Below are 27,735 nucleotides of genomic sequence, written 5' to 3'. Positions count from 1 at the left end.
GCATGTATCCCCACTCTTCTACATTTCAACCTCAAAATTTTCACACGATCCTTCCCATTTTTAAGTATCCTCAAGTCTCTTTCTTTTTAAAAAATCCTCCTAACTCTTCTTTTCTCCCGCTTGCCCTACACTTTTCTCCTATCACACTCCTCCCCCTCAGAGCCCGAGTTCTTGAAATAACTGTCCACATTCTCTGTGGCTTCCTCATGTCCCTTTCCTCTCAACTGACAGCAATCTGCTTCTGCCCACACCTTTCCTCAGAAACTGCTCTCATTTGGTCCCAAGCCACCTCCCTATTGCTACATCTAATAAACAGTTCTCATTTCTTATCTGACTTGAGCTCTCAACATTTGACGCTGTTTACCACTTCCTTCTGTGCTTGGAATGCTCTCTTCATTTGCCTTCTATTAAGCCACATTCTCCAACTTTCCCTCCTCCATCTCTGGCTGCTCCTTCTCAGTCTCCTTTCCGACAACTTTTCCTTTGCCCTTCTATTTAACTCAGTGTGACCTCTCTGAGTTTGACCCTCTTCTATTCTCCGGACACATTCTCTCCCTTGGTGATCTTGTTCATTCTTGTAGCTCCAACGATTTATTGCTGATGACCCCTGAACTTGTGCCAATGGCCCAGAAGGCTGTCCTGAGCTTCAGACTTAGGTTTCGGATCGCTTGGATGTTTACATCTAGATTTCCCACAGGCACCTCTACTCAATTGGACTGCAATTAAGTTCTTGTCTCCATTTCCCAGCTAAAATCTGCTCCTTTTGCTGGGCATCTCCTGACCCTTCTCCCTCCCTGACACACTTGTCCAATTGGTACCCAAGTCCTGAAGATTCCACCTCCCCAAGAGAGGTCTCACCTCCGAGGGCATAACTCCACTTGGACCATCACTAGCTTTGATCATTTCTTCTCTTCGGATCACCACTGCTGCCTCCAAACAGGTCTCTTGGTTTTCAGTTTTCACATCAAATCCAAGGGGATCTTTCTGAATCTCTAATTATGTCCCGTCCGTTCACCCTGCTTAAAATTCTTCATCAATCCCCTCTTGTCCTCAGGATGTAAGGCTTTCTCACAGTCTGGTCTCTCCCACCTGTGTCTTGCCAGTGCCACCCCCCACCTATCCTTCAACTACACTGAGTTATTTGTAGTTCTGTAAGATTGCTTGCTATGTCTTGCCTCTGCACTTTTGCACATGCTTTCTCCTGTTTTGCTTTGTTTTTCCCCCCCATTTTTTGAGTTAACTCCTATTAATCACTTCTTCCACAATGTCTTTGATGACCTTCATGGAACATAGTTACATGTTGCTCCCATCCTCCATTGTGTTACCCCGTTTGCCCCTGATACAGCACTGATTGTGCTTTCATTGTCCATCTACCCTTAAACATTAGGAACCTTTCAGAAAGAGACCCTGTTTTCTTTGTAGTTTTAACTTTAGAGTCTGGAACAGTACATGGTGCATATTGGGAGCTCAATAAAGACTTATTTATTTATTTATTTATTTATTCTGTGACAGAGTCTGGCTCTGTGGCCAAGGCTGGAGTGCAGTGGCACAATCTCGGCTCACTGCAACCTCCGCCTCCTGGGTTCAAGCAATTCTCCTGCCTCAGCCTCCCAAGTAGCTGTGATTACAGGTGTTCGCCACCAGGCCTGGCTAATTTTTGTATTTTTAGTAGAGACGAGGTTTAGAACTGGTCTAGAACTCCTGACCTCAGGTGATCTGCCTGCCTCAGGTTTTCAAAGTGCTGGGATTACAGGTGTGAACCACTGCACCCAGCCTCAATAAATACTTATTAAATGAAGAAATGAATGATGCTATTAATATGTATCATGTGACACTTATAAATATTATTATAGTTGAATTTGAGCTTGAGATGAGGGGACTGTTAGGGAGATGGATGAATTTAAAAATCATAAAGAACCAAAGAAGGCCAGAAGCAGTGGCTCACGCCACTTAGAGAAGTCACTGACCTTGGTGTCACTATTTCAAAGATGATATTAAAGACAAGGGATGGGCATAGAAGGAAGAAATAATTGCTTTCTGGTTTTCTTTTCACAATACAGGTGAGAAAAAAAAGTAAAACATTCAAAAAGAAGAGGACAAAATACTCTAAAAAATGCAGTAGTTTCCTAGGTTGAAGTTTCAGAAATATTTAATGTTTAGAATTCTCTATGTTTATCTAGGTGGAGATCTTGAAACAAACAGGCTTATTACTTTGTTCTGCAGGTTAGGAAAAAACACAAATTGCTGGGCATAATGATGCATGCCTGTAATCCCAGCACTATGGGAGGTTGAGGGGGGAGGATGGCTTGAGGCAAGGAGTTTGAGACCACCCTGGACAGCATAGCAAGACCCCATTTCTACAAAAATTAAAAAATTAGCTTGATGTGGTGCTGTGCACCTGTAGTTCTAGGTACTTTGGAGGGTTAGGTAGGAAGAATGCTTGAACACAGAAGATTGAGACTTAAGTGAGCCATGATCATATTCCAGCTGCGTAACAGAATGAGACCCCATTGGTAAAAAAATTAAAATAAAAAAAATTCAATGAAATAAAAACTAAATCAATATATTTTCTACTGACAACATCCCTCACCTGCCTTATTTGTTTAAGAGTGTACTGTTACTAGTAACACCCACACACTAGTTAATGAAACACTATTATGCAAGAATCTAAGGAATCTAAGAATCTAATGGAAAAACAGCCTGATATTAACAAATAAATATAAACGACTCTTCTGAGTTGCAGCCACACATACTTTCCACTGCACCTCAGTTACCCAACAGATTTAATTTCTATCTGGTTTGTCTTCAGAACTGGGGAGGAGAAATCCTGGATTTGGCAGGCGCTGAGCTTGGAACCCACACTCACTCCAGCAGTGTTATTGGTTCAGTCCTTGAGGCCAGTAACACTTCCAGCCCCAGGGAAACCTTGGTTCCAAACTTTTCCATCATTCCACAAAGGAGTTCTTTCTGCAAGAGGTTTTGGCTGTTTTTGAAGCTTTCTCTAATTCTGTCTTTTAAAAAGCAGTTTGTAGGGTTGGAACATTGCAGGGTTTTTTCCTCCCTCTTCACCCAGATGTTTCTGGTTCTCAGGATGTACACCTGTGATTCTGGGTCACTTGGGAGAAATGTCTGAGTTTTATTTACAGCAAAGAATGTGATCCTCACATGCAAATGTTTAAAATGGTCATTTTGTTCTCAGGGACCAACTGCAAGACCTGCTAGGAAAGTACTTGTAGAAAATGTTAAGGTCAAAATCATCTGATCATTAAACATGTTTTGAGTGCCTGCTCTGATTCCCTAGCACTATTCTAAGTACTGGGAATACAGTGGTGAAAAAAAAAAAAAAAAAGAAGAAATTAAAAAAGAGAAAAAAACTCTGCTTTAGTTAAAGAAAAAGGTGGGGGGAAAACGAATAATATACAAAAAAATAACAAAAAGGTACATATGCAGTTTGTTAGATGAAATTGTCCTGAAGTTCAAAAGATAAATTTATATATGGAGATGGCTGCTTTTACCATGGAGGTGATCTCCTTGCTTAGATGAGAGATGAGATATGCAGAGTGTGTGGCATAATATCTGACACATAGTAGGTCCTCTCCTCAGTAATATGAGTTCCTGTTCTTTTCCTAGCTTGACTTACCAATCCAATGAAAGTATTTTTGCCTTCTGTCTTACAATCATCTTTAACATTTCATTCACAGCAATCTATGCTTTTTCTAGCATGTACCTCAAAACAAACTCTTCCAGCCTCTACCTATTACCCAGTTCCAAAGCTATTTCCACATTTTTAGGTATTTGTTATGGCAACACTCCACTGTCTTAGTCAGTTTGGGCTCTATAACAAAGTACTATAGACTGGGTGGTTTATAAGCAACAGAAATTTATTTCTCAAGGTTCTGGAGTCTAGAGTCTGGAAGTCTGAACCCAGTCCAGTATTGTTGGGGTCTGGTGAGAGTTCTTTTATGGGTTGCATACTGCTGTCTTCTCCTTATATCATCACATGGCAGGAAGAGAAAGAGAGAGCTACCTAGGTCTCTTTTTCTTTCTGTCTTTCTTTTTTTTTTTTTTGAGACAGAGTCTCACTCTGTCGCCCAGGCTGTAGTGCAGTGGTGCGATCTCAGCCCACTGCAACACCCACCTCCTGGGTTCAGGTGATTCTCCTGCCTCAGCCTCCCGAGAAGCTGGGATTACAGGTGCCCGCCACCATGCCTGGCTAATTTTTGTATTTTTAGTAGAGAAGAGGTTTCACCATATTGGCCAGGCTGGTCTGGAGCTCCTGACCTCATGATCCGCCTGTCTTGGCCTCCCAGTGTGCTGGGATTAGAGGCGTGAGCCACTGCGCCCAGCCCCTGGGGTCTCTTTTATAGGAGTTCTACTCCCATTCATGAGGGCTCCATCCTTCTGACCTAATTACCTCCCGAAGTCCCTGCCTCATATACCATCATACTTGGAGCTAGGATTTCATCACATAGATTTCGAGGGACACAAACGTTCACTCAACGACACAGACTAAGAATTAGTATTATAAGACTCACTTCTAGAAAAGTATTGCCGCGGCTGGGCCTGGTGGCTCATGCCTGTAATCCCAACACTTTGGGAGGCCGAGGTGGGCAGATCGCCTGAGGTCAGGAGTTAGAGACCAGCCTGGCCAACATGGAGAAACCCCATCTCTACTAAAAATACAAAAATTAGCTGGGTGTGTGGCATATGCCTATAATCCCAGCTACTTGGGAGGCTGAGGAGAATCGCTTGAACCCAGGAGGTGGAGTTTGCAGTGAACTGAGATTGCACAACTGCACTCCAGCCTGGGTGACAGAGTGAGACTCCATCTCAAAAAAAAAAAAAAAAAAGAAAGAAAGAAAGAAAAAGCATTGCCTAACTTTGATCTAGAGAGATTTATTTTAGGTAAAGCCATGATGGAAAAATTCATATCATCAATGAATTATTTAGAATAAGTCACTTAACTTATTCTAAATAACTTTCACAATAAAGATCATCAAAAAACTACTGCCTACACAGCACAGTGATAGGCATTAGGAACCCAGAAATTAATAAGCCACTACTTTTGCTCTCAGGAGCAATGGGCAACAGTAACTCTAAAAATGAGGTGGTGTAAGATAAAGTCCAATAGACAAATACAAAATAAAGTATTTTGAGAGTCCAAAGAAAGACAAGTTATTTTTGCATTTGGAGGGAGAAAGGAAGTAGAGGATTAGGAGGAACTTCAACAGGGAGATAACATCCCCAAGATGAGCTGTGTAAGACTGCACAGTTTGAGGGGCAGGGAGGGAAGCTGAGACTGCACAGTTTGAGGGGCAGGGAGGGAAGCTGAGACTGCACAGTTTGAGGGGCAGGGAGGGAAGCCAGGAAGAACTCTGGAATGTGTAGGCCGCATGAGTTGTTCAGTTTGCCTAAAACACAGGGTGCATAAAGGGTGTGGTGGGAGATAGGCCTGGAAGAGGGGCTTAGGATCACAACATGAGTGCCTTCACCAGTGGAATGAGGGTTGATATTTCATGTGGCTAGCACTATGACACATTCTGAGACTTTTGAGTCTTACTTTCTTACATCATTGTGTATCTTTAAGAGATGACTCTTTCTTTCTTTCTTTTTCTTTTTTTTTTTTGAGTCGGAGTCTCACTCTGTTGCCCAGGCTGGAGTGCAATGGCGTGATCTCAGCTCACTTCCACCTTCTCCTCCCGGGTTCAAGCAATTCTCCTGCCTTAGCCTCCCGAGTAGCTGGGATTACAGGCACCCACCACCACGCCTGGCTAATTTTTGTATTTTTAGTAGAGACAGGGTTTCACCATGTTGGCCATGCTGGTCTCGAACTACTGACCTTGTGATCCGCCTGCCTTGGTCTCCCAAAGTGTTGGGATTACAGGCATGAGCCACTGCGACCAGCTTTTTGTTTTGTTTTGTTTTTTTTTTTTGAGGCTGTGTCTTGCACTCTCGCCTAGGCTGGAGTGCAATGGCGTGATCTTGGCTCACTGCAACCTCTGCCTCCCAGTTTCAAGCAATTCTCCTGCCTCAGCCTCCCGAGTAGCTGGGAATACAGGCGTCTGCCACCATGCCCGGCTAATTTTTTGTATTTTAGGTGGAGATGGAGTTTCACTATGTTGGCCAGGCCAGTCTCAAACTTGTGATCTGCCCACCTTGTGATCTGCCCACCTTGGCCTCCCAAAGTGCTGAGATAACAGGTGTGAGCCACCGCGCCCGGCCAAAAGATGACTCTTTACAGTAACTCTTGGCATTGTGTTTAGGTCAATTGATTTTTTTGGGGGGGGTTGTCGGGTATTCCATTGTTCATTTGTTGTTTTGTTTTATTTTTCTTTGTTTGTTTTGAATTAGAGGCTCAGCAGTGAAGTTCGTCTTGCAATTTTATCAAGACTGTTTTGAAGGGAGGGGGGTCCTTCCCTCTTCCACTGGTAAAGTATGAGGACCTTTATAGGTGTGTACAGTGAATCATAAGGATTCATTTGCAACCAGTAAAAGAACCTAGGGCTTGATAGACCACTCATTCCCACATGTAAAGAAACTCTCTAGATTTGAAAAATATTGCTTCCAAGACTTAAAAGTTTTTTTAAAACAGGCAGTACATTTTCTGAGTGACTATTAATAAGATATTAAAAGCCAACAGGAAGGATGGATTTTCAACTCCAATATGGAAGGGGAGCAGAGGTCAGAGAAACAGACTCAGAGAACGGGAAAGATTGAAGGACATTTGACTTTAGGTTGACTTTTTTTTTTTTTTTTTTTTTTTTTTTGAGACGGAGTCTCGCTCTGTCGCCCAGGCTGGAGTGCAGTGGCGGGATCTCGGCTCACTGCAAGCTCCGCCTCCCGGGTTCACGCCATTCTCCTGCCTCAGCCTCCCAAGTAGCTGGGACTACAGGCGCCCGCCACTACGCCCGGCTAATTTTTTGTATTTTTAGTAGAGACGGGGTTTCACCGTTTTAGCCGGGATGGTCTCGATCTCCTGACCTCGTGATCCGCCCGCCTCGGCCTCCCAAAGTGCTGGGATTACAGGCGTGAGCCACCGAGGTTGACTTTTGAGAAGTGAACTTGTAACCTCTAGAGAAGTAGGGAATGCAAGGGTTTCTAAGGGCAAGAATTGTAGAGGTAGGAATTAGGCAGAAATAATTGGCCACCATCTGCTATGAGAAATGGCCTTGTTCTATGTGGGGCTGAGCTAAAAGATTCTCCATAGAGAAATTGGTACCTGCATTGTGAGGATCCAAGCAAAGAAGAAGAGTGGAGGAACATTCTTTTTAAAGGCATTTCATGAAATATGGAGTGGTAATGGCAAGAATAGCAGTACTAGGCAGGAAGTTCTAGAAGTGGCTTTACCCAAGCTCAAGTTGCACTAGGTGTGTAGAGAAATGGATGGTGTTAGTGGGCAAAATATCCCCTTATAACTTCACATTGCATAACTCCAGGGCTATCAGTCACACGTAGCTTATGTCTATGGGGTGACAGTCATATAAACTTTACTCCCCATTGCACTATTCCAGACTCCTTCCACCCCCGAATAGTGCAATGTGGAGCACTGTCCATTATGGAATTGAAAGTCCTGGGTTTTGGTGTTGGGATTCTGTTGGTTGCAAGTAACAGGAACAACTCAAATAGTTTAAACAATAGAGGTGATATATTGGCTGTGCATTCCAGGGTTAGAGCTGGCCTCTCTGTTTCCATCTCTTGGTATTGTCTTCCTGTTTGTGTTAGCTTCATTACTTCTTACTGCTATGTGATAAGGGTTGGAATGTGTGTGTGCGTGTGTGTGCGCGCGTGTGTGTGTCTGTGTGTGTGCGTGTGTGTGTGTTGGAGGATTACATCTGAGTGATATTTTCCTTGGCAGCCGTATCAGAACCACAGGGAAAAGTAGAGGAGTAGTTCCTTTCAGGGCAGAGGTACTGTTATTTTCTAGATTATGAATGATGTGAAAACCACAAATAAAATGTCCAAGAGACGTTTGAATAGGGCCGTTGGTGGGCCATGAATAGTACTATTTGTTAAAATTTGTGCTAAAAATTACTTCTTTAAAACATTTTTCTTCTTTGTTGAAGTAATTCCACTGTATTCTTAAAGAAATCTGACATGAACAATTTTGTTTAAAAATCTTCTTTTAAGGTCAATTTACAACTTTAATTAATATGGATTGCTGACTGATTATGTAATTCTTCTAGAAATGAGTATGACTGGATTAGGTTGTAATGAGTATTTTATAGGAAAGTCAATACATGGCGTGTGTTTTCAGTCTTTGTCATCTGGTTCTAGTCTCTGCTTGGCAACAGGATTTTATACGTGGCTCTGTCAGTGCAGCCAAAAAACCTTGCATACTTCACAACTTGCCACTCTTTTTAAAGATGTAGTTAGAGACTGAAGCTTATAGCACATGCTGCTGGATTAAGCATCTAAAGTGAGAGTCTCATGGGCCCAAAATATCTCTTGTACCCACACATTTCCTGGTAGGGCAAACTTCACAAAATAAACATAGATGACCTCTTGCCCATCCAGTCTTCCGGAAAGTTTAGAAATGATGCAACCTTTTGGCAATATGACATGACACATCGCTTTACTTGTGCAGAGCATGGACTTCCTTCATTCTGCACCACCATGGATAAACAAGCATTTACATTAGCACTGTCCAGGATTTGGAAACAAAATCTCATCCACTTTAATGAGTCTAGACGTTAGTAAACTGCCTTGGCTTGGGGAAGGACGAATTGACAAATGACAACAGGGAAAGTCTCATGGTTGCTCCACAGTGACATCAAAGACGTAGGAGAAAGTAGAAGCTGGTTTTCCTGTCAATACCTTGGTTTCCTTTTCTTTCTTCATTCCCCCTGCATGTGGGAATAACAATGTCTGGAATCAATATAGGGTTCTTCTTCTAAGAGGCTGAGAGTGTTTTCCCACACATAGAGCTGGCTGGTTTTGTTCTTTCCCTCTGCAGGAGAGTGTGAGCTGTGAGATTTCCTATTGCCCTCTGGCCTCATGTGAGCTGTGAGATTTCCTACTGCCCTCTTGCCTCTGCCGTTAACCTAGCCCTCAATTCTGTTTCCATCCTGGGGGGGCCTGTTCTGATTTCTTTTATTCATTCAGTAAATATAAACAATCCTTTACATGTTGATTAGTGTGCTATGTGCCTTTTTTGTAACCTCTTTTGATTATTCCATAGACTTTTTTTTTGATTCCGTGGAGTAGATATCCCCTGACTTGTTTTTCAGGGGTTTGTGTTTGTTTTAAGATTTTCTTTTCCCTGCAATTACCCATTTACTCTGTTTTCTCTACTTCTAAAAGACAATCCATACTTAGAAGTGCCACAATTCACAATGATGGTGCATAATTAGGCACAACCTAGTTATAATTTTGAGGCCTGGTGTGGTGGCTCATGCCTGTAATCCCAGCACTTTGGGAGGCCAAGGCAGGCGGATCTCCTGAGGTCAGGAGCTCAAGACTAGCCTGGGAAACAAGGTGAAACTCCGTCTCTACAAAAAATACAAAAATTAGCCAGGCGTGGTGGTTCATGCCTGTGGTCCCAGCTACTCGGGAGGCTGAGATGGGAGGTCGAGGCTGCAGTGAGCTGAGACAGCACCACAGCACTCCAGCCTGGGGAACAAAGGGAGACACTGTTTCAAAAAAAAAAAAGAAGAAGAAAAGAATTTTGGACTAAAATGTGGCCCCAAACTACTTAACTTGTAAGGCTCCTTACACTTTGTTTCCAACCCATTTCTCCAGCCTATTACTTTCTTTTTTTTTTTTTTTTTTTTTGAGACGGAGTCTCGCTCTGTCACCCAGGCTGGAGTGCAGCGGTGCGATCTCGGCTCACTGCAAGCTCCTCCTCCCGGGTTCACGCCATTCTCCTGCCTCAGCCTCCCAAGTAGCCGGGACTACAGGCGCCCACCACCACGCCCGGCTAATTTTGTTTTTGTATTTTTAGTAGAGACTGGGTTTCACCGTGTTAGCCAGGATGGTCTCATCTCCTGACCTCGTGATCCACCCGCCTCGGCCTCCCAAAGTGCTGGGATTAAAGGCTGCCTATTACTTTTTATAATGCATTCTGCATGACAGTGCTTCTCAAAGTATATAAAGTAAAGGACGAGCTGTTTTCATTTCCATTCTGTGGAGGTCCGATATGTGCTTCTATTGTGCATAACTAGTGTGTAACTTGAGCAACATGCAGTTCACCATGTGAGCTCTACATGGTCTGTATCCCATGTAAAGAGAGGAGGCCACTGACTGAGTGCACAGTAAGTAGCTAATGTTTTTACAATTTACTTCGGATTTCTTCATTTACATGTTCACAAAATGTAACAAACAATTCACAGTCCACTGACCACAGTTTGAGTAGTGTAGCCTTGAGGCTGTATCTCCACCAGATTCTCCCCATTTTTGAACAAACTTTGGATGTTATTGCTTTTGAACTTTGACCCTAGGCCTTCCCCCAGACTGGGTGCCCTGTTCTCCCTGCTTTGCCCGGTCTATCCTTCCTTTTCTTTGAAATCCCACCTTAAATTTTTTAATATGAGTAATACTTCACATAACATAAAATTCACCATTTTACAGTGAAAATTCTGTGGCTTTTAGTACATTTAAACTGTTGTGCAACCATCACCATGATCTAACTCTAGAACATTCTGTCACCCCTAAAGAAACCCGGTATCCCGTAGCAGGCACTCCCCCTTCCCCCTCCACTCAGCCCCTGGTGACCACTACTTTCAGTCTCCACGGATTTTCCTATGCTGGGTCTTTCATGTCAATAGAATCATATGATATGTAGCCTTTTGTGACTTAGCATAACATTGTCAAGATTCATCCACGTTGCAGCATATATCAGTTCTTCCTTCTTATGGATAAATAATATTCCATTGTATGGATATACCACATTTTGATATTGTTTATCCATTCATCAACTGATGGGCATTTGGGTTGTTTCTGCTTTTTGGCTGTTACGAATAACACTTTTAGTAACAAGTACTAGTTTTATTGTGGAAATATTTTCTTTTCTCTTGGGCATATATCTTGGAGAGGAATTGCTGGATGGTATGGTACCTCTATGCTTAAATTCTTGAGGAATTGTAAACTGTTTTCCAAAGTGGCCGCACCATGCATTCCCACCAGCAATGTATAAGGGTTCTAATTTCTTCACATTCCTGCCAACACTTGTCATTATTTTTTTTCTTTTTAAAAAATTACAGCCATCCTACTGGGCACCATAAATATTTTTCTTCTGTGAACCCATCTGATTACTCCTTCCAGAAAGAATCAACCTTTTCCTCCTCTCTGATCTCACAAGAATATATAATACAGTAATTATTACAGTAGTTATCTTTTTAACCTTATGGTGTGCTAGGTACTATGCTAAGTGCTTCATATGTATGAGGCATTAAATCCTCATATAACTTTTGGGAGGTTGGTTTTACTGTCTCCATTTTACAGACAAAGGCACAGGCAGAGAGAGTAAATTGTCTTAAAATCATGCACCTACAGGAGTGAAAGCTGGGATTTTGAACTCCTGGGCATATCTGACCCCAAAGCCAATGCTCTTTAATGTTAGGCTCTCAATAAATGGAAACTATTTATACATACATACATATATATATATATATATATTTATTTTTTATTTATTTTTATTTTTTTTGAGACAGAGTTTCTCTGTTGTTGCCCAGGCTGGAGTGCAGTGGCGCAATCTGGGCTCACCACAACCTCTGCCTCCTGGGTTCAAGCAATTCTCCTGCCTCAGCCTCCCGAGTAGCTGGAGTTACAGGCATGCGCCACCACACCCAGCTAATTTTGTATTTTTAGTACAGACAGGGTTTCTACATGTTGGTCAGGCTGGTCTCGAACACCTGACAAGGTGATCCACCCGCCTCGGCCTCCCAAAGTGCTGGGATTACAGGAGTGAGCTACTGCCCCCCGCCAGAAACTATTACTATTTTTAAAGCCCTCTCTTTTATAACAGGCCCATGCTTTCCTATTAGAACTAGCAACAGTTCATTTCTAAAGATTTGGTGGAATTTTATCCTTAGTTTACTCAAGAGTATTTCTACAGCATACAGTCAACAGTTCTCATTTTCCCATTCAGATGGGTCTTATATCTAAGCTTCAGGAGTAGATTGCCTTATTTCTAAAGCTTACATCATACCGAACACCTAAAACCCTGCAAAGTGTCATTTGTTTATCGCCAAACACCTACCAATCCTATCATACAAATGGACACACTTGTTGATTTCACCTTTGAATTTGATCTTGAAGAAGACTATTTGGAATTTGCTCGACACATATTTATTAACATGTCTTCTCCAGTTAATATATGCCAAAAAGATATTCTTTTCTTTTTTTGAGATGGAGTCTTGGAGTCTGGCTCTGTCACCCAGGCTGGAGTGCAGTGGTTTGATCTCAACTCACTGCAACCTCCGCCTCCTGGGTTTAAGTGATTCTTTTGCCTCAGCCTCCTGAATAGCTAGGATAACAGGCGCCCGCCACCATTGTCAGCTAATTTTTGTATTTTTAGTAGAGATGAAGTTTCGCCATGTTGGCCAGGCTGGTCTCGAACACCTGACCTCAGGTGATCCACTCACCTTGGCCTCCCATAGTGCTAGGATTACAGGCATGAGCCACTGTGCCCAGCCCAAAGATATTCTTTTCTATTGATTTTCTCTTTCCCTCTGTGAAATGAGAGGATTCAAGTCACAACTTCACTGCTAGGAGAACCATTGTCATTCTCTGTTCTTGCATTTTTTTATTTTTATTTTTACCGAAACACACAAGCCCTAATTATTATGTTACTGAGTAGCTCCTGGTTCACCTCTATCACTTATTAGTGTGTCTTAGGTGTGTTTCTTAATCTCTCCGCACCTCTATTGCCTTAATCTGTAGAAAGGTGGTTGTAAAACACCTTATATCGTTAGTGTGATAATTGTAAGATACGTTTACATCTGTAGATACATATGTGCACATGATCTAAGTAGTAACAAATGAAAGTAAATAGTAATCTTGCAGTAAAGAACCCGCTTAAATTATTTGACGCTGAAATGCTCCCCTCCCCACATTTTTCAAAACAACACTTCTATAAATAATTCAAGAATCTGTTTAATACAATTTTCCCTCCCTCTATCCACCTTTTGTCACCCCTGTGAAGCCCTCTCAGGAGGAGTTAATCACTTTCTCCTCCTTCCTGCTCCGATCATGGTGTGTCATGGCATTTAGGGTGCTGCATTGTAATTTATCTGTTTACACATCTGCCTCTTTCTGAGAGCAGGGCCCATATCTTACTTATTTTTGTATCTCCAATGTGATGCGTAAAATCTAACAGGTGTATAATCAACGTTTATTGATTTGAATTATCTGTCACTGTTGACTTTGACATGTGCACGTTACTCAGAACCCTGGGTAAGGACAGTAACGCACGTTGCTCTGAAACAGGCAGAAAGAAAAGCAAGCTCATCACTTCTGCATGCTTCTTGGGTTGAAAATCCAACATACATAAATATCTTTAGTTAAAAGGACCCTGTGAGTTAGTGTAGGCATTGGATTGACATGCATTCTCTCCAAATGAATCTGCCAGAATGGAAGAGTCAACTTGCTTGAGTGATTCTGTGTCAATACGGCCTTTAAAAAGATGTTACCATGTCATCCTGCTGGATATGTTCATTCCAACAAATCATTTTCTATTCCAAAGTACTGTTTTTTCTTTTTTCTTGTCTTTTTTTTTTTTTTTGAGATGGAGTCTCACTGTGTCACCCAGGCTGGAGTGCAGTGGCGCAATCTGGACTCACTGCAACCTCCGCCTCCCGGGTTTAAGTGATTCTGCTGCCTTAGCCTCCCGAGTAGCTGGGATTACAGGCACGCACCACCACGCCTGGCTAATTTTTGTATTTTTAGTAGGCACGGAGTTTCACCATGTTGGTCAGGCTGGTCACGAACTCCCAACCTCAGGTGATTCGCCCGCCTCGGCCTCCCAAAGTGCTGGGATTACAGGCATGAACCACTGCATTAGGCCGAAATTGCAGTGTTTTCTTCTGATGCTTTGATCTAGCAGCAGCAGAAGACTGTTTATTCTTGTTCTGGATCAAGCTGGGACAAAACTGTGTTGGGCATCATTCTACCTTTGATTCTGTGCTGATGGTTCTTTTTATTGTGCACACTCTTCTTCAAGCCATGTCCTGATTCCCCTTTCCTCCCAGTCTCTGCTTTCCCCCAGTTCATTTCTGTATTTGCTACCAAAAAATGTTTTAGGTCACCTTTCTCCTTTTCATTATGCATACCAACTATGCATGTCCCCATAGACTGATGCCACATCCCCATGAAGAAAAGCATCTCACAGAGGTCAACTGGTGTTTTCCAGGTCACACAAGGTCAACACTGAACCCAGAATCCAGATTTTCTAACCTATGCTTCCCAGTAGCTTTCACTCTCACTGTAATTTTTATTGTTGTTATTTTTAAAGCTTAGGGGTTAACTCCCCTACCCCAGTGTGCGCAAACACACACACACACACACACACACACACACACACACACACACACGTTTAATATAGAGAGAAACATGAAGTTCTCTTTTCACAAGACATTAAGGGAATGGAAATTGTGAAGAAAGCTGTGAAGAACTTCCAAGTCATATTCAGGATTTTCCCAAATGGTTAGGTTAAGTACACAGAAAAAGGTAGCCTCCCTACCTCCCCAGGGTGGCTCCAGTCTATCTGAAGGGGCCATTCTCTGGCCATCCTGAAACTCATGCAGGTGGTGACTTCATCTTTCCCTGAGTAAGTGTGGTCACCGGCAGACACTCCCGGCGGGGAACAGGCAGGCAGGCCAGGATGTGGGAGGGTGATTCAGCAGGTAACAGCAAAGCCCCATAAGCCACCCTGTGGAAACGCCCATGAGGTCCACCCTCTCAGGCAAGTTTTAGAGGACAGAAGCCAAACTCCTACTCCCCACACTATTTTCCTCAAGACGAATTTTCTGTTGTCCCCTTTAGGAGAAAAGCTTCATATCCTGATCCACGGATCCCCGAATATTCCTGATGAATGTGGTCACTGCAATATGGTTCCCTTTTCTCTTCTTTCCTTCCTTCCTTCCTTTCTCTTTCTTTTCTTTCTTTCTTTTTTTTTTGAGACAGAGTCTTGCTCTTGTCGGCCAGCCTGGAGTGCAGCGGCACGATCTCGGCTCACTGCAACCTCTGCCTCCCCGGTTCAAGAGATTCTCCTGCCTCAGCCTCCCAAGTAGCTGGGATTACAGGCGCCCGTCACCATGCCCGGCTAATTTTTGTATTTTTAGTAGAGATGGTGTTTTGCCATTTTGACCAGGCTGGTCTCAAACTCCTGACCTCGTGATCTGCCTGCCTCGGCCTCCTAAAGTGATGGGATTACAGGCGTGAGCCACTGCACCCGGCCTCCCTTTGCTTTTCTTATGAAAAGGATTGATGGGCACTTGCCAACTTTATTTAGGCTCCTGCAGGTGAGGTGCTCCATGTTGAGCAGCCCTAGAATCCTGCACAGTCTGGGGCCTGGTGAGCCTGCAGCTAACTCAAGTGGTTGAGACGTGTTTGTTGAGGGAAGGAAGGGAAGAAATAGAAACTGTTAAAGGAATCTCTTCTTGAACTTCCTTATTGTATTCAGAGTTTTAAAAGCATGTAATTATGATGTTGTAACTGAAACTCTGAATATAACTATCGATATCTGAAACTTGTAATAAATTAATGAAAAATGAGTTGATTTCTTTTTTTCTTACTTCTTGGCACTTGGATCATAAAAACTGAAATGTTCTCTTGAAGCATATTTTGAAGTGTGGTTTTTTCCTTTCTCAGTGGATATTTATAGAACAAACATTAACATGCAAATTATATGGATACATTCTACCCCCACCCAACCCTCTTCATAATAGCCTGTGAAAAGTCAGACCGCGAAGGCACAAAGACGGTCTTATTACTTTTAACCTTTGGGGAGGGCGGCATGAACCACGGAAAGTTTACTTGGGTATCAAACTCAAAATGTACCTATGGCTTGACACAGCTCTGCCAGATAACACTCCCACACACATGCCAAGGTGCTTTTTGGACTTTGCTATGGAGACAGCCTCGCAATTAACGACACACACCGGGAAGGACAAAGAGAGAGGAAAAGTGTTTTCTGAAATGTCAGGTCCTCCCTCCTGCTGACTCTCAGCAATTTGTCAGGGGCTTTTCTCTGTGGTACTGGAGCTGGATTTTCCCACAGGTAAACTAGTTTTCCAGCTCGCACTCAGGAGCCCTGCTCTTCTGGGAAGCCCTAGGGTGTAATCTGGAGCCTGGTTGGGTTTTGGGGGTGTCATCTGACATCAGTTACCTCAGTGGGAAGGCCCTAGGCCGGAGTCAGGTGTTGAGAAGGGAGGTGAGGTTTGGTGCTTCCGAGGGTTGCTTAGTCCCAGTCAGATGCAATCTCTATCTCCTATGAAAAAGAAATACAATTCCTGTCACTCTCTTTCCTTAAAACCAACTTTGGGCCTTTATTACCCATAAGACAAAGCCTAAATTACTTAGTCTAGCACACAAGATTCTTAAGAAACTGGCTCTAGCCTAATCTCTCTCATTTCTTGATACTTATGAGTCGTTTGTCCTAAGGACCTGACAGTGTAGCTGTTACAAACTGTTGTGGGCTTCCAGCACGTTACATGGGGTACACAACACAGGCTCCCTTCCTGGACTGACCCCTCCACTGTAAGTGCCTTGTAAACTAATCTTGAGACACATTCAGCTGCCAGCCATCCCTAAATCCCTCCTGTGCTTGTTTAAAATCTGCATTGTGATGTGTATTCCATTAGAGTGAGTTTAGGCCAGGTGCGGTGGCTCATGCCTGTAATCCTCCTAGTACTTTGCGAGGCTAAGGCGGGCAGATCACTTGAGGTTAGGAGTTTGAGACCAGCCCGGCTAACACGGTGAAACCCTGTCTCTACTAAAAATACAAAAATTAGCCAGGCGTATGGCGGGCATCTGTAGTCCCAGCTACTCAGGAGGCTGAGGCAGGAGAATCGCTTGAACCCAGGAGGCGGAGGCTGCAGTGAGCTGAGATTGCACCATTGCACTCCAGGCTGGGTGACAAGAGCAAGACTCCATCTCAAATAAATAAATAAAAATAGAGTGAATTTAATTTCTCATATGTCCACATCTTCCACAAGTCTCTGAACTCCTTGAAGGCAGGGGCTATATCCGTTTCTCTCTGAATTCCCATTTTCTGCACAGGCTCTGGTAAGGGCAGAGCTACTTTGGTGCGTAACATACAGATTACTCTCTACTCATGTGCAATCTATTCCAGTTTTGGCGGAAAATAACTGGAAAATGGTGTAAATCAAGGAAGAGTTCCAGGCAGGGTCTGCCAGCCCTCTTCTTTGCTCTGCTTATAGGGGTTAACCAAAGTTCAATTTATTTCCCTTTTGCAAATATGTCAGAAAGTCAAATACGCAGGCCACATTGAAACAAAAACTGCCAGAGTGGGCATCAATAAAATGGGATTCTAGCCCTAGTTCTGACACTAACTAGTTGTGCATCATTGGAGAGATTAATTAGCCTAACTCTCAGTTTCTTCATCTATAAAATTGAGGATTTGGTCTAGGTGATGCTATTTCTTAGGGACTATTCACAGGGACTTCAGCAGGGGTTTGAGAAAAAGGCAATTTTCAAAAAATTTATTTCATTTTATTTATTTATTTTTAGACAAAGTCTCACTCTGTCACCCAGGCTAGAGTGGAATGATGTGGTCTCGGCTCACTGCAACCTCCGCCTCCCGGGTTCAAGTGATTTTCCTGCCTCAGCCTCCCGAGTAGTTGGGACTACAGTAGGCACGTGCCACCACACCCGGCTAAGTTTTGTGTTTTTAGTAGAGATGGGGTTTCACTATGTTGACCAGGCTGGTCTCGAACTCCTGACCTCGTAATCCACCCACCTCGGCCTCCCAAAGTGTTGGGATTACAGGTGTGAGGCACCGCACTCAGCCAAAAAAGGCAAATTTAAAAGGAACTGTCTGATCCAGCTTTTAGACACCTCATGATTATGAAAGTACCCAGCATAGACCTGGTACATAGTGAGTCCTCAACAGATGAGCGATCAATATCTCCCTGATACCTTTTTTCTACATACTTCTGGGGGCTAGAGAAACTAGTCTTATCCTGTTTTTCTACTACTGTAGTCCGATCTAGAGCTTCATCTCCCTTGAGAAGTTCCTTTTCCTTCCTGTGTTGCAGTGGGCTACTTTTGAGGAGGTAAGCACAGAGCAGTGGGAAGTGCTTTCCAAATAGGGGTCTGTTATGGGTTGAATTATATCACCCAAGAAAGATACATTGAAGTCCTAACCCTCTGTTACCTCAGAATGTGACCTTATTTGGAAATAGGGTCATTACAGAGATAATCAAGTTAAAATGAGGTCGTTAGTATAGGTCCTAATCCTATATGACTGATGTCTGTATGAAAAGGAGAAATTTGGACACAGAGACAGACACACACACAGTAAAGATGAGGTGAGGACACGGAGAAGATGCCATGTGATTGGAGCGACGCATCCACAGGCCAAGGAGCACCAGGGATGCTGGGAAACGCCAGAGCTAGAAGAGGCCAGAAAGTCTTGGCCCCTAGAGAGAATCTGGCCTTGCCAATGCCTTGATTTCTCACTTCTAGTCTCCAAAACTGTAAGATAACAACCTTCTCTTGTTTCAAGCCACCTAGGTTTTGATTTTTTGGTAGGACAGCCTTAGGAAGCTAATATAGGGTCTACACTGAGCTTTGTGTGGGCTAATGAAGAGAGGGGTGTATGTGTATGTGTTGTTGTTAGAAGGTAATTTACATCAAGGGAAGGTAATGCATCAGCTCCTAGAAAATTAAGCAGATGCCATTTGCCCAAGAAAAAGCCTTCAACTCATTAGCAGATTCCACCTATCTTTTCTTCTCCCCTTTTCACTCTTCTTTCTCTTCTTGCCTTGCTGCAACTTGCCTCACCATGCTTGCAAACGCTCCTTTATCTCTCCTCTCCAGCCCTGCACTGGCTCCCTCATAAGGGACACTTTATGCTGATGTTTACTTAGAAATGTCAGGGCTACAAAATCTGGCATGGTTGTAGAGGCCTCCAAGCGAGGAAGAGAGACTAAAGCCTCCTACTTGAGGGAGATTTGGGGAGGCTCAGACCCTGGTGGCACCAGCAAAAGGAAGCCAACTAAGGTAAACTTTTCTCTTTCCAGTTGGTAAATCCTCCTTGTGAAACTGGTATAATAGATGCTGTATAAAAACTCTGCCGAATTCTTCCCTCTGGAATCTTCGGGGCGCCTGACATAACCCTCACCCTCCGCGCAGTGGAGAGCAGAGAGGCCTCCCTCTGTGTGCTCCATCACAACTTTCCACTGAATCTGGGTTTGGGCGGCTTGATTTGAATGGAGGATTGTTCAGCTGCAGCCAGTGCCGGCAGAGCTGCCAGTTACAACACTTAAAAAATACAGTACTGCTTTTAAAGTAGAGTAGAAGGGCGTTGAAGCGAGGATGCAGGGGTTCCTTGTCAAATACACTGCCCATCTGTCCTGGCTTTCCTTGGAGGGGAGGGCCAAGGCTTCCCCAAGGCAGGGAAACAGTCCCCAAGCTCCGCCTACAAACCAGCATTTTTGGGGAGGAAGCCTGCTCCGTATCTGTGCTCCCGAACAGACCATTTGGTAAGATTTGAAGTGATAGCTCTTTGTCCATTGGCGCACCCTCTAAGTAGTATTTACAGATTAACTATGCCTAGATGCATGCCACAGACATCTGGTATATGTTTCAAGTTAAATGCTATGAGAGAGAGATCATTTCTGAAATCGCAAAGATTGGTCCATACTTTAAGAATTATGTAGAAATTATACCCGCAAATCTCTCTGCTGAGATGAAATGTAATTATATGGTTAAATATTCATATTTTAATTATTGGAAAGAAGTACATTAACAAACTATTATTGAAATATGTTCCATATAGAGTCAAGTAGGAAAACCTAAAGAGTTAGTCTTTTCTGTACTTGCAATGCAATAATTTCATTGTTTGCTACAGCAGGAATTTTTTTTATACAAGTCACTGGAATTATTCAGCTGCTTGAGTGATTTGCCTGTTCCTGAATAAAACCCTTGCTCGGAAGCCAAATCACTCTTATTGGTCAGCTTCAAAATTCCATAGGTGTGCTTAGACTCAAAGAAAATGAAGATTTCTTAAAAATGACCAATTTTGTTTTGTTGGTGATGCATAAAGGTTGGAATAGGACGGTTTCTGATTATTCTCCGGTGATTCATACAATTCATTTTTGTTTTTAAAACACACCTAAGACATTTCTCTTTCTGTGTCCTTATGAAATGGTGGGGAGGGGATCCTTACATACGCATAACCTACCTTTTCTGGCCACTGATAACATCTGTCCTTCTGGAAGTGGATTAAATCAAAGCATAGGAGTGCCTTTTTTTTTTTTTTTTTTTTTTTTTTGCCAGTTTTCACAGTAAAAGAAACAGAATGTAGAAACCATAACCATATTGACCTTCTAGACGAAGCCCAGTAGGATGAAAGTAACATTTCTACAAGACAGCATGTCATAAAAGGGGCTTGTAAAGACAAAATCATTAGACGACAAGTACGCTTCATTGAAAAAGAGGTGCATTTTTCTATTGTTCCAAGTATTGTGTAAGGCAGGAAGATGGAGAATAATATTCAATGCATCTGCAAAGGAAATGAGTCCCAAAAATGCCTTATTTGGTGCTTTAGTCAAAAAGGCCACCTGTCTCATTTACCAAATAAGCAGTTTTTTTTTTCATTCCTTTTATAAGATCAAGCCCACTTCTCTGAGGAATGAATCAGAGGCATTGCATTTACCACATAAATAACTGATTGAAGTAAGTGATTTACCTTTTCCTTATTTTATCACATAAAAAAGGGCAATGATTACATGTAACACCTAATTCTTATTGCCTTATTGATTACGTCTGAATGCTGACCATGCTTTTACTAAAGAGACAATGCTATGTTCTCAGATTCTCAAAATGAGCAGGCCAGATTACTTAATCAAATCTATAGTAGGAAGTCCAGAGCTGAACAATGCACTAGCTGGTGTGTTTTGACTTCACTGTCTCCATGGTAACATGCACGAACAAATTACGAAAAATATGAACGATTTGTCTGAAGGGCAGAAATTTGCCAAATCTTATTTAGTCTAATTAGTTTTAAATTAATGATATTTTAGGTGATTAAAATGTTTTTCCAAGAATTCTCATGCAAAAAAAAAAAAAACTATTGCATTTACTGACTTTGGTATAATGTTCATATTTTTAGAGTAAGCTGGTTGTGGAGTGAGAGTTACTAACTTGCATAAATTAAAATGATAAGCATTTCAACGTGGTAAGAAGCCAAAACAACAGTTTAAAAAGTAAACATTTTAGTTCATCTGATTATTTAACATACTGAGAATGCATTTCTTAAAAGCATGTATATACATTTTAAATGTAAGTATTTTCTGATTTTAGGCAAATCATAGTAGCCTATGCAAGCTGTGTACTAAGGGACTGAACTGGAATACAGCAACAGGCAAAGCTTCAGGAATCAAGAAGGCAAGAAAAGTGACACTCCAGAAAATACAAAGTCCCACAGCTCTCTCAATTCACGTTAAATCTGGACTATCTAGAAGCTGTTTTCTTCTATCAAAGGCCAAAGTGAGTGGCTCATGCCTGTAATGTCAGCACTTTGGGAGGCTGAGACAGGATGCTTGCTTGAGGCCAGAAGTTCAAGACCAGCCCGGGTTATAAAGCGAGAGCTCATCTCTACAAAAAAACAAAACAAAACAAAACAAAAGGCTAAAGTGAGGTACGTAATTCTTCCCACTGCCATAGCTTAAAGAAGCCTACAGGATAGGTCAAGAACCAAGCTGCTATGGCAGGAATTGTATGGAGTGTGCTGGAGACAACAAGGAGTCTCCTTTTGCTCTGTAAAATTAATAACGAGAGTAGCTAGAGTTATGGAAAAGAGGTTTGGTGAAGAGTCAAAAAAAAAAAAGCAAAAGCCCTGAGCTTTGAGCACCTGCACACAGAGAGCCGGAGCTCTCTCCGCAGTTGGTGTTAAATGACTGAACACAAGGAAGTAATTGTTCCTGCACTAACTAACTAGTGCAGGATTCTGAGAAAAGGTTCAATAGACAATGGAACGATGGAAACGGGGGAAAAATCTGAGAGAGAGAGAGAAAGAGAGGAGTTCCCTTAGACTGGTGACTGGTGAAAACCTTTCACAGTTCCTCAGTGAAGAAAGCTAGAGACCTTGGTGAAGAAACATATTGTCTATTTTAATGTGATTTCTCCCTCTCTGTTTACCAAACACATTCCATAGTGTACTGTCATCATTAATAAAGCTTCATAAGGTTCTGAATTTTGAGATACTATTGTTAAGGATTCATAGCTGATCCAGGAGACTTAGAGTGACAATTTTAGTCCAAATTCTCGTATGCAAAGTAGGCAGACTAGTCAAGCAACACCTTTTCAGCACTCTGCCTTAACCAATCCTGTATCTGAGTACGCTGCATGTATCCCTGGGTACTGTGGCCAAAACAGAGAGAACTCCTGCTTCCAGTCTGCCCACAAACCAGGAGACAGTCATTCAACAGAGCAATAAGACTACAAAATGGATCTTCTTCTGGTGTTAGAGATGAAGAGAAACTAATTCCTCCTTGTTTTTTACAACAGCAGTTTGAGTAGAGTTTAGGTATGTAAATAAATAGTTCAACAGAGAAAAGAAAAGATAAGTTAACATAATAAAGTTAGTTACTGGTTTTTTGTATATTATTAATGCATATATTAGTGGCATTTTCTGGACTTTAGAAAATGCCTTTGCTGCCAGATAGATTTTATGCTCATCAAACACACACACACACACACAAAGGTAACTATGTGAGGTGACAGATATGTTATTTAACTTAATTGTTGCAACCACTTCACAATGTCCACGTATACCAAAACATCGCATTGTGCACCTTAAATATATTCATTTTTTACTTGTCAATTATATCCTAAAAAAATCTGGAAAAAATAAAAATAAATTTAAAAAATGCTTTTAAAATCTGTGTACTCAATGTAAAGGCTAAAAATATAATGCCTCCAAAAGAAAATGAAAAATATCTTTGTGATCTTGGAATTGGCAACAGTTTCTTAGATAAAACAGAGAAAATATTAACCATTAAAAATTAGTAAATTGGACTTCATCAAAATGAAAATTTCTGCTCATCAAAAGACATTGTTAAGAAAATGAAAAGGCAAGCCACAGAATGGGAGAAAATATTTAAATACTTATGTCTGACAGAATATATAAAGAATTCATACAACCTAACAACAACATGAACAAATATATATATTTACCTAAAAAATCTGTAAACAAATATTGAGCTGTCATTAGTAATATGCTTTTTTTTTTTTTGACAGTGTCTCACTCTGTCATCCAAGTTGGAGTACAATAGTGAGATTTCAGCTCACTGCAATCTCTGCCCCCTAGGCTCAAGCCATCCTCCCACCTCAGCCTCCCGAGTAGCTGGGATTACAGGCATGTGCCACCACACCTGGCTAATTTTTATATTTTTTGTAGAGACAAGGTTTTGCCATGTTGCCCAGGCTGGTCTCAAATTCCTGAGCTCAAGTGATCCACCTGCCTCGACCTCCCAAAATGTTGTGATTAAAGGCGTGAGCAACTGTGCCCAGCCAGTAATATGCGTGTTGAAGGGTAAAGTGTACTGATGGGTACAACTTACTTTGGAATGCATTAAAAAATAAGATGGGTTGATGGATGAATGAGAGAATGGATACACGATAAAGTAAATTAGCAAAATGCTACTTGTAGAATTTAGGTGGTGGGTATTGGGACAATAATTGTCCATTGTACAGTTCCTTTCTTTTTTTCTGTATGTTTGAAAAATTTCATAACAAAATGTTGAGAAAAAAAAAGTTAAATATTCACTTACCTCATGATCCAGCAGGTTATCTTCTAGATATTTACCTAAAAGAAATAAAAACTTATGTTCACACACAGATTTATATAAGAATGTTTACAGAGCATTATTCATACTACTTCTAAGCTGGAAAGGTATCCATCAACAATGGAATGGATATGCAAATTGTGGTATGTTATACACTGGATAAGTATTTAGCAATAAAAAGGAATGAACCATTGATCCAAAGAACAAGATGGCTAAATCCCAAAAACTGTATGTTGAGCCAGAAAAACCAGAGGCAAAATTCAGAGAACAGGTTTAGAACAGTGATTGCCTGTGAGAGGTGGAAAGTGACTGGAAGGGGCACAGAGAACTTTCTCGGTTGATAGATAGAATGTTTTTATCATGGCTGGGTGCAGTGGCTCACACCTGTAATCCCAGCCCTTTGGGAGGGAGGCTGAGGTGGGCAGATCACTTGAGGTGATCTGAGGTCAAGAGTTCAAGACCAGCCTGGCCAACATGGTGAAACCCTATCTCTACTAAAAATACAAAAATTAGCTGGGCATGGTGGTACATGCTTGTAGTCCCAGCTACTTGGAAGGCTGAGGTAGGAGAATCACTTGAACCCAGGAGGCAGAGGTTGCAGTGATCGTGCCACTAGATCGTGCCACTGCACCCCAGACTGGGAGACAAAGAAAGACTCCATCTGAGAAAAAAAAAAGTTTATATCATGATTGGAGTGATGAATATTTAGGTGTGTACATTGATCAAAATTCATTAAATTGTATACTTAGGATGTGTGCATTTCTGTATGTAAATTTTACCTAAGTGGGGAAAAAGACTGAGACAGAGAGATCTCAAATTATTAAGCAGAGTTGTCTTTCTCTGTGTGACTATAGATGACAAGTCAGAGGCAGTAGACAACCCTGAATAGAAGGAAGCAAAGGTAACAGATTTCATGTCAGGAATCCAACTCTAATTAGTGGGACAAGTCTATTCTTGGAGATGTCCTGAGATAGGAAAAAAGTCACTCAATATTTCAAAGTATTGTAAGATGAGAGACGATTGTAATATCTTAGTCAATTTGTGAACAATATAGATCTCAGCCCCAAGTTCAACTGCATAGGATCATGGGCACACTAGTATGTTTTCTTTGTTTTAGGAAATGTACAGATTAAGTTCCAATGGGAAACTAGATGTCAACTTTGATGGACTTAAATCGTTGCCCTTTCCTCATAGGAAAGCCTCCAAGGCCCTCTCTCTGAGTCTGTCTTATACATAAGGCAAAGAAGGTGGGCTAACTGCTTTGTTTCCTAGCCCTTGGCAGGTTAGAAGCAGCAAATTAGAAATGGGAGGAGGCAGTGAAATAGCCAGAGGCTGTGACTCAGACAGCAAGTGACAGCTCACAGCAGGCAGAAAGGATGAAAGGAAGGGAGAAATATAAAAAGCCAACCTAAATACTCAAGAACACAACAGTGGGAAGGGGGGCCTCCCACAGCTCAATTTATTTAAATAGTTCCTCAGTGCACTGCAGTGTTTTACAGACCAGTCCAAAATCTTTTTTAATGTCCTAAAAGAAGAACCAGTAATGTAATGACATCCATTATGCATTGTGTAAGTCAGAGAATTGTTACATTTTCCCTAAAATTTTGTGTGATATGATTAGAAAAATATTTAAACATTTTTTGATCAGAGGATTGAACTTGTTAAAAAAATTGCTTCTGTAAAATACTTATTCCCTGATAATATTGAATAACACATTTTTTTACTTTTTAAGATTTGAAGTAAAAGATTTTTACTTTTTAAGATTTATGAATGTTAATTCAAAAAAATTATACGTTAGATGACATCTGGAAGAAGGAAAATAATGGTAACATCCACCTCTGTCACCAAAGCTGTTGTCTTGAACTTCCTATTTTCCAAAAGCCTTTGAAATGCCATCCCTATTGTTTTATGAGGGCTTTATATATCAACATCTGTCACAGAATTCCTTTCTTCTGTATGTAAATCGTTATATTAGATCAGACTTCGAATTTATTTTTAGCAGTTTTGTGAAAAGGAGACCCCATTTTGTGAATCTTTTACCAAGTGATATGATGGGATTAGCTCCTATTGAGTCCTGAGAGCCAAGTGTAGCATTTCTTTCCAACTCTGATTTCATGTTGTCGGCTTGAAAATGGCTGTGGTGGGAGTATGTATACCATGAAAATCAACAAACACCATAAATCAGGGCTCTTTTCTTTCTTTAGAGAGCTAGTTGTTAAACATTTACCAGCACACCACTGGTTCCATCAGATTCTAAAAACACACTGTATTTAGTCTTAGATTCAGTTGTCACCACCTGTGGCTCTTCCCTTAATAAGAAACATAGCTTGTTACAGCTGGGTAGTCCTCAGCACAATTTGTTTTGTTATGTACATTTATTGAGGTCTGGATAATCTACTTTATTTATTAAGTTATTCAATTATTGATGACAAAATAGATGGGAAATAAACTGAGTAAAAAAGGAAATAAAGGTTATAGGGTCAGTATTGTTACAAAATATAATCTTCGTAGTACTTGGTTTCAAGAAATCAGGTATTTTTGTCAGATCATGATAGGTATTGAATGCAATAGACAAGTTACCCAAGCGAATATTGCACTCCTGGCTTCATATTTAGAAAAGAGGTGCACCAGCCAGGTGTGGTGGCTCATGCCTGTAAGCTCAGCACTTTGGGAGGCCGAGGTGGGTGGATCACTTGAGGTCAGGAGTTCGAGACCAGCCTGACCAACGTGGTGAAACACCGTCTCTACTAAAAATACAAAATTAGCCAGATGTGGTGGCATATGCCTGTAATCTCAGCTACTTCGGAGGCTGATCGCTTGAGCCCGGGAGGCGGAGATTGCAGTGAGCCGAAATCGCGCCATTGCACTCTAGCCTGGGCAACAAGAGTGAAACTCTGTCTCAAAAAAAAAAAAAAAAAAGAAAAAAGAAAAAGAGGTGCACCATAAGGTGCCACAAAAACAGTTGTTTTAATCAGGGAAGGCATACACACTTCCATTATGTGGATATCTGAAGCTCTTGAGAAAGGCAAGTTTGCTTAAATTACTCACTCTACCAGTGAGTAATATTTGTGATTTTAGGGAATTTCATTGCATATGTAAATTCAACGTGATGACACTTATAACCTGCTTGGGATTTAAGCTTTGACATGTGCTGCCCTGTAGGCACCTACGAATTTCTGACCAGGTTTTATTGCTGTGTAACAACTGCGACCTCTTGAATAGGGCCAGAGCTGTCATTATAAGAAAAAAATGTTTAACATTTTTTTCCTCTTTAAAGCTGTGAGAAGACTAGTTACATGCTTTCAAAGAGACGGATTGTTTCTTCATCCCAGTCTCATATTTGACCCTGAAAAGCAGAGAATTTGGATGAAAAATATCTGTTTATCTAATAAATTCTGTTATCTAATGTAGTCAGTTCATCAAATTCTCTGAATAACTTCATCCAGAAGCCTGAATTCACAAATGTTTATTGAGTGCTATTAAAAAGCAAAGGACTCTGCTGGTTATTACAACAATATAGAAAGATAACCAAGATATGGTTTCTGCCTTCCAGGAATTTAGTACATAGTGGAGGACAAAAACTTACTATTTTATGTAAAATAACTGAAATCATACCAAACACACTTTCAGACCACAACACAATAAAAATAGAAGTCAAGACTAAGAAAATCTCTCAAAACCATGCAATTACATAGAAATTAAACAACACGCTCCTGAACGACTCTTGGGTAAATGCTGAAATTAAGGCAGAAATCAAGAAGTT

At 41.4% G+C, this 27,735-nt stretch overlaps 1 long non-coding RNA gene across 1 annotated transcript in view, besides 3 other annotated features; it reads right to left on the bottom strand.

The window, feature by feature from the left end:
• LOC105374217 (uncharacterized) overlaps nucleotides 1-27,735 on the bottom strand; it is a 44,277-nt gene that overhangs the window by 7,253 nt on the left and 9,289 nt on the right. Inside the window, exons 2-3 of the long non-coding RNA XR_924718.4 lie at nucleotides 23,958-23,992; nucleotides 16,325-16,426 (exon numbers count right to left, since the gene is read on the bottom strand). This is a non-coding gene — a long non-coding RNA (uncharacterized LOC105374217). The remainder of the gene's footprint in view (nucleotides 1-16,324; nucleotides 16,427-23,957; nucleotides 23,993-27,735) is intronic.
• Nucleotides 8,414-8,558: an enhancer, noted in NCBI's record as "145 bp enhancer 130 fragment used in the MPRA reporter construct; PK_construct_961". NCBI's record gives its function as "activates an SV40 promoter by MPRA in K562 cells {active_cell/tissue: K562}" and the evidence as "EXISTENCE:reporter gene assay evidence [ECO:0000049][PMID:23512712]".
• Nucleotides 8,480-8,491: a transcriptional cis regulatory region, noted in NCBI's record as "FOXA motif; enhancer activity is reduced when this motif is scrambled". NCBI's record gives its function as "necessary for full MPRA enhancer 130 activity {active_cell/tissue: K562}" and the evidence as "EXISTENCE:site-directed mutagenesis evidence [ECO:0005528][PMID:23512712]".
• Nucleotides 14,867-15,367: an enhancer, noted in NCBI's record as "H3K4me1 hESC enhancer chr3:171678336-171678836 (GRCh37/hg19 assembly coordinates)". NCBI's record gives its function as "activates a minimal SCP1, AML or CMV promoter by ChIP-STARR-seq in primed H9 embryonic stem cells {active_cell/tissue: H9 hESC(primed)}" and the evidence as "EXISTENCE:reporter gene assay evidence [ECO:0000049][PMID:30033119]".

The sequence above is a fragment of the Homo sapiens genome, chromosome 3 (assembly GCF_000001405.40).
Source record: "Homo sapiens chromosome 3, GRCh38.p14 Primary Assembly".
In the NCBI taxonomy this organism is placed as follows: domain Eukaryota; kingdom Metazoa; phylum Chordata; class Mammalia; order Primates; family Hominidae; genus Homo; species Homo sapiens.
Note: the sequence above shows the minus strand (reverse complement) of the source record. Positions and strands in the feature narration are given on the sequence as shown.